The 7,579-nt window shown below is 33.8% G+C and overlaps 1 protein-coding gene across 89 annotated transcripts in view; it reads right to left on the bottom strand.

Moving 5' to 3' along the window:
• Positions 1-210: 210 nt before the first annotated feature.
• Positions 211-7,579, bottom strand: part of PTPN20 (protein tyrosine phosphatase non-receptor type 20) — a 92,226-nt gene continuing 84,857 nt past the window's right edge. For 71 of the 89 annotated variants that reach the window (NR_148023.2, NR_148024.2, NM_001352542.2 and 68 more), the window contains 2 exons: positions 3,890-3,952; positions 1,542-3,188 (listed from right to left, as the gene is read on the bottom strand). Coding sequence is in view for 86 of the 89 variants with exons in the window: in NM_001352548.2 (NP_001339477.1) it covers positions 3,123-3,188; positions 3,890-3,952 (129 nt within the window). In the remaining 3 variants the exon portion in view is untranslated. Of the gene's footprint in view, positions 1,342-1,541; positions 3,291-3,889; positions 3,953-7,579 lie in introns of those variants that run through there. The other 18 variants (NR_148022.2, NM_001352535.2, XM_047425027.1 and 15 more) reach the window with 2 other exon arrangements.

Here is a 7,579-nt window from a genome sequence, read left to right as displayed (position 1 = left end):
AAGTATTTCACATATTTTATAAAATATACATTTTATATATGCCTGTTGCTCAAAGATATTTTTCCTGTTGAAGATACAGAACAGGGGTTGGCAAAAATTTTCTTTAAAGGGCCAGGTGGTAAAAATTGTAGGCTTTATAAGACATATGATCTCTGCTGATACTATTCACTCAGTCATCGCCATAATACAAAAGCAGCCACAGACAATATGTAAACAAATGGGCATAAAACTTTATTTACAAAAAAAGGCAAGAAGTCAGATATGGCCTGTGGGCCATAGTTTGCTGGTTGTAGATAAAGAGACAGACTAATAGATATAGAGAAAGATTAATTTTTACATAGTTATCTTGTATCTTAACTTCATAATAAGTTTGCTAATACTATTTTTGAGTTGAGTCTATTATTTCTATGTGAACAACGTATGAACAAAAGATCATTTTCTTCTAGCTTTCCAATATTTACAGCAATTATTCCACTTTTGTAATCTTACTGCATTGGCTAGATAACTCTGGAGCAATACTCAGCTACTGTGCTAACAGGAGGTATTGTTTTGTTAATAGGGGGGGCTCTGTTTTTCACCTACAAATTTGATGTTGCTGTTGGTTTCTAAAAAATGTTATCACGTTCAAGTTTCAGATACAATGCTTGTATTCAATCTTTTAAGATCCCTTCTAATTCAAATTGTTTAATTATGAAGTAATTACCAGTTTTTGATTGAGGCTATAGACAAATGAGTGTTCCAGTGAGCAATCCATCACCCCCATTGAATACCAATGACTTCTTTTTACTTAATAGAGACCTTCTGAATCTTCTTGTTCAATTACATGAACCTCAAGACAACATAGAAGAAAACGAATTCTTCCGAGGAATTAGAAAAAAATTAAGTAGGAAATAAAAGTATTTTGCTTTAGACTTTTTAAAGGTGTTTTCCTTTGAGGTTTTTCAATAAAAATAAATCACTAAAATAACTTTTGAGTGCTAAAGGTAAATTTAGCTGAAAATTCAATAATGTTCTAAGGAGATTGGGGGTAAAAGGTCCAAAGGAAGATAAATTACTAACTCTAATATGGAAGAAAAAAATCTAAGATGTTTATTTCTGAAAAGCTTTGGTCTAACATGTAAGCCTCAAGAACATACAACTTTAAAAATATGTATTTAAAATTGAAAGTTAATAAATATATATATGCTTATATTTAAATATTTTAAAACTTCCTTTAAATTAGCATTCATATACTCACAAAGGTGTCAATGAAAATTTCATGTTCACATTGCAGGCAGAAATTGATTCATTATTGATATAAAATTATTTCAATCAGTCAAAAGTTTTCACTTTGGCATTCACCTTCCAAGAATGAAGTGAAAACAAATGCAATTAGTATTTCCATATTCACTCCTTTAATTTCCCTGGAAAACTAAAAATTAGTCCAGCTGTAAAAATATGAGGCACACATTAAAGAAGAGACATGTTTAACATCAAGCATTGTGGAATTTTTCTTTACAAGACGATTTCAAGGCCCAGATAAATAAAAATACTTCAGGCAATACACAGTAAATATTTTATTTTAATAATAGCATAGAATTCTTCTGAAGAAAATTGTTATACATTATAGCTATTATTTTACAGTAACAGAGAGAAAATAAAATTAGAGATACAAATATTAAAGGCCAATTATCAAAATGAAATTAACACAGATTATTATTCATATGAACAATGTAAACAGAATCATCTATTTGATTTAACATCAAATATATTTTTGGCATATAATTATTTTTACAATGAGAATTATTAATTATTCAACCAATTCAAATATACTCATTCAGCCAAAAGAACAAAATAAGCCTCTTAGAAATTCAAGATTTATAGATTGATATTAAACATTTTCTCAATACATAGAATATTCTGATCTCCATTGAGTTAAACTGTACAAACACTCATATCTATTGTTTTATAGCTTATAATTAGGTATAGCTTGTCACCAGAACTCCTTGTCCAAAATATCACTATTAATTGTACGAGGCAAAGTCCTATAATAAAATTACTGTAATAATGGCCACATCTTTTCAAAAACAGAATATGGAAGTTTCCATTTTCATGACTATGAATCTGGTTTTCCAAAATTGGGTTCCCAAATCCAGTTTCTAAATGTTTCAACAGAGGTGAGAAAGTAAAGGAAATAAATGATTTAATGGAACTCTGGAAAAAAAACTATCATAGATCTTAGTTTGAAAAATACATCAAACATGAGAGATACCATGAATGACTCAGAATTATATAATAATGCCTATATCAAACTTTATTAGTTAGCTAAAGGGCAAAGAGTAAGAGGCAAGTTAAAGGTAATACTTGCTTTTAACAAAGCAGACTAAGTAATATGTTAAGTGTTAGGGTGGGATAGGAAAGAACTCAGGCATGGCAAAAGTCTCCTCTTGGGCTTTCTATATAAACATCTATTTTAGTTTTGGACTGTTCACCGAGAGGAGCTCTCCCTATCCATGAAATGCTTCCCAGACCAACAGGTCTTGGTCTAGCAGCTGTAGGAAGGCAGCAGTATGAAAATGTAGGAAATGGAAGCCAATTTGTGTCCAAAGTTAGTCCACCCTAACTGGACTCTTTTTAAACTGGGTTATTCAAATGCCAGCAAAAAGTACAGGCTCTAGCTAAAGAACATGAATAGACATCTGTCTTAAAAATGCCTGGAAGAGGTCATGATTATTGGCCTTATGTTCTCCCAGAATAAGAACTTACAAAGTCCTGGAAATCCTCAGCTCTCTCCAGCCACCTTTCCAAATAAAATCTTAATGAATATATTTTAAATCCTTTATTGGGCTCTGTAATCCCTTCAACCAAATAGCCAAGCTGCAATCGTTTTATGTAACATCTGTTTCACTGGAAAATGTGGGAAGTTATTTTGATATTGTCTAGCAAGATCAATAAGTAAACACTGATCACCCCAAGCCAAATGATATTGCCCTTCAGGGAGCTTTTAGAAAGAAAATAAACTGATAAACCAAGAAAGCAGATTGTATGCATAGCAAAGCCCTTCAGCACAGTGCAAACATGTTCTTTATGAGGAGGTGCAAACCCACTTGGTAATTTCAAGTGAGAGGCAACAGAAGTCTTTCTTAATCCAAAGTCAGAAGTTTCCGAAGAACTTCAAGCACAATATCGTAACAAAAGTGATACTGCTCCTATATACATATATATAAAAAACAACAGAATGTTAAGTAATTGAATAACAGAATCCACTTTCAGAAAACACATTTGTAATTTTCAGCCACACTGGAAAGTTCCTAAAAAGAGCAAACATTTAACTATAAACACTTAAGAACTTTACGTGAATACATTTTTAAAACTATGAGGAAGATAAATGATCAAAATATAGCTCTTGGCCTAGAACTAGTTACCTTAAGGCTTAACATAACTGTTTTTTTTATCATTATCCATATTCTATTAATCTACCCTCCCAATGACTACTAACAAATCTGTGACATAAATGATGTCTTTTTATGACGTCCTGATAACCTTGACAGTTTAGTGGCAAGTAAATATCTCAAACTGCTATCCAGAAATGTTTTAAAAATAACTTTAGATGTTACTTAAATAGCACGGCATTATGGACAAGGCATGTGTTTGGACACGAGGAGACCTCAACTTCAGGCTTGGCTCCTCCCCTTCTATCTGAGTGACCCCATGGAGCAGGCTTTATTGCTCTGAATTTGAAGTACTTGGTCAGGAATACCAGAGAATCAGAGCAAAACTAATGTCTACCTCAAACAGTAGGAATTCAATGAGATTATGTCAATAAAAGAGCTTTTAAGTGGTAAAGTGTTATGCAATGTTAATCTTTATATTCATTATTCTTATTATTATGTATGTGGTGAAAGCTTACCTTCGTTTGAACCATGCCAGAACGTTGTTCTCTCATTTGGGCCACTATATCCATGATGTTGAACTGTAATAAGATGACAGTAATTTTGTATGATCCACATGGGGGAAAAACACAAATTCACAGATTGCCAAAAAGGGTGAAAGAGATGTCAAGATTTAATCAGAAAGATCTCATTTTCACTCACAAGAAAATGTGCTATTTTTAACTTAGCCCAATGGATAAGGAAGACTATTTTAATAGGTTTTCAGGAGAAAGCAGGAAGCAATCATTCATAATAAGAAATGCTCTCCAAAATAAGTAATAAATTTGCCCTTGTGTGTCCCTGTTTGTTATCCAAAGGCAGAACTTAAAGCAGCACTGTAATTCTGGAAAGGCACAGAAGACTTTCTCTGGCCCCAACAATAGCATATCTGTTTCTTATATGAAGATCCCTGTCAACTCACACGGAAACTGGGAGCAACAGTCGACCCAACACTAGATTCCAGACTGTGTGTGGACACCAGTACAGCTGGGTGTGGTCATTGAGTTGGTGCAGGCCTACAAAGGTCTGTTGCTGGTCCACAATGAGTCAAGAAACTGGGAGTAAGTGCTCAGAAACTCTTATGGCAATTTGACACTGGCACAGCACTGAGAAGTGTGCTCAACTGAACAGGATATAGACCAGCTCAGGTGTTGCTGAACTTGCCTGGAGAGTCACATGTGGGACAAGCTGAGAATGAGTCGTTTCAGCAAGACATTGTGGACACATGTAAATGTTGTCAACTGTAACCCCAAAGCATATAAAAATAGAAAACAATAAGCATTCCTTTATTTTCATAGCTTATCATTTTTATAATTAAAATTTTTAATTAACCCTTTGAAAAAACTTTTAGTTTTTTAGAGACAGGGTCTTGCTCTGTTGTCTCAGCTGCTGGAGTACAGCGGTGTCATCATATTTCACTGCAATCTCAAACTACAATCCTCCCTCCTCAACCTCCTGAGTAGCAAGAACTATAGGTGCGTTCCACCATGCCCAGCTAACTTTTTTATTTTTATTTTTGTTACCCAGGCTGGTTTCAAACTCCTGGCCTAAAGTGATCCTCAGCCTTGGCCTCCTAAGGTCTGGGATTATAGGCGTCAGCCACCATATCTGCCATAAAAAAATTTTATTTTATAATACAGATATACAGGAAGTTGTACAGGGTGGCCCTGTGTATCTTTCACCCAGTTTCCCAGATGGTGTCATCTTGTTTAACAAGATATAATATCAAAACCAGGAAACTGACATTGGGACAATCCACAAAGCTTAATTCAGATTTCACCAGTTTTACATGCAACTGTTAGTGAGTGTGTGAGAGTGTGTATGTGTGCATGTGTGCATGCACAGAGCTCCATGCAATTATATCATATGTGAAGATTCATGTAACTATAACCACAGTCCAGATACAGAGCTGTTCCACCACAAGACTTCCTCCTGCTATCCCTATAGAGTCACACTCATCCACCCCAATCTCTAACCCTTGGAAAATAGTAATCTGTTCTCCTTCTCTATGCTTTTGCTATTTCAAGAAGAAATAGCAAAATTCACTATATGAATAAAATTGCACAATAGCTAACCTTTTGTGATTGACTTTTTTCCCACCCAGAATAACTTGGAGATCCATCCAAGTTGTTGGTGTAACAATAGTTTGCTTCCTTTTATTGCTAAATAATATTCCATGATGTGGATATGTGCCACTTTATTTAACCATCAATTTGTTGAAGGACATCTGGGTTGTTCTGGTTTTTGGCTACTGTGAATATAATCTGCTATGAACATTTACATACAGGTTTCTGTATGAACATAAATTTTGATTAATCTGGGATAAATGCCCCAAGAGTGCTATTGCTGGGTTATATGTCAACTTTAGTTAGTTTTGTTTTTGTTTTCTTTCCAAGAAACTGCTCAATTGTTTTCCGTAGTGGCTGGTACCAGTCTACATTCCCAATGTCTCATACATATGGGTAATGTATGAGCAATACAGTTTCTCCAAATCTTCACATAATTCTCCAAATCCTCACCAGCATTTCCAAATCTTCATCAGCATGGGGTGCTGTCACTATTTTTACATAAGCCTTTCTGATAGGTGTGTAATGCTACTCCATCCTGGTTTTAATTAGCATTTCCCCAAGGGCTAATGAAGCTGAGCATCTTTTCACGTGCTTGTCATCTGTATGTTCTCTTTGGTGAACTGTCTGTTCATGTCTTTTACCCATTTCTGTTTTTCTTTTTTTTTTAACTATTGATTTTTGAGGGTTCCTTATAAATTCTAGATCCAAGGCCTTTGTTGGATATGTGCCCTGCATATAGTTACTCTCTAGCTTGTTTTTTTTTTTTTATCCTCTTCATTGGGTCTTTCACAAAACATAAAATTTTAGTTTGCTTTCCCTCTGAGATCAGTGATGGCAACAACGCCTGCTCTCACCACTCTTATTCAATATAGCACTTGACATTTTAGTACAGCAATAAGACCAGAAAATAAGTAGGATGTATACAGATTGTATACAGATCAAAAAGGAAGAGACAAATCTATATGCACATGGCATGACTGTCTATGTAGAACACACTAAAGAATCTAAAAAAAAAAAAACCTACAAAACCTCTAAGAGCTAATAAGTAATTTCAACAAGATCACAGGGTACAAGATCAACAAATGAAAATCAATTAAATTTCTACGTACTAGCAATGAATATGTGGAAACTGAAAGTACAAACACAATACCATTTACAATTGCTCCAAAGAAAATGAATAGGGTAAATTTAACAAAACATATACAAGATCTATACACTGAAAATGACAAAATGCTGATGCAAGAATTCAAAAAAGACCTAAATAAATACACTTACCATGTTCATGGATTGGAAGATTCAATACAGTAAAGATATCAGCTCTCTCCAATTAAACTACAGATTTAAAGTAATTTCCATCCAAATCCCAGCAAGTTTTGTGTAGATGTAGCCAAACTAATTCTAAAATTTATTAGAGAAAGCACAGACCCTAGGATAGCTCAAACAATTTTGAAAAAGGAGAATAACGTGGGAGGAATCATTCTATCTGATGTTAAAGCTTACTATATCACTACAATAATCCAAAGGGTGGTACCGGCAGAAGGATAGACACACTAATCAATAGAACAGAATACGGAACCAGAAATAGGCCCATACAAATATGCCCAATAATTTTTGACAAAGGTACAACAATAATTCAATAGAGGAATAACAGAATTTTCAATAAATGATATTGAAACAACTAGCCATCAATAGGCCAAAAAATGAATCTTCACCTAAATTTAATAATTTATTAACTCAAAATGGACTATGGACTTAAATGTCAAATATGAACTTACAGAATTTTCATAAAAGAACACAAAAAAATTATTCAGGCCCTCAGCTAAGTGATGAGCTGTTAGACTTGATATCAAAACATGATCCATAAAAGGAAAAACTAATAAAATACAATCTCATCAGAATTAAAAACTGTAACTTCTTTAAAAGCATTTTTTTAATTATAATTTAAGATTAGGCAAATTATGGAAATACATTTGAATTACTAATTTTTAATCAGTTTACTGACTATAAAACAAGCATGACTGGACTGTTCAGTTAAGAAAAGACACAGCTTTCCAAATGTGGCTGTAGTGGTTAACCAAATAATGAAGATGGAAGTGACTG

Source organism: Homo sapiens, chromosome 10, assembly GCF_000001405.40.
Source record: "Homo sapiens chromosome 10, GRCh38.p14 Primary Assembly".
NCBI classification, from domain to species: domain Eukaryota; kingdom Metazoa; phylum Chordata; class Mammalia; order Primates; family Hominidae; genus Homo; species Homo sapiens.
Note: the sequence above shows the minus strand (reverse complement) of the source record. Positions and strands in the feature narration are given on the sequence as shown.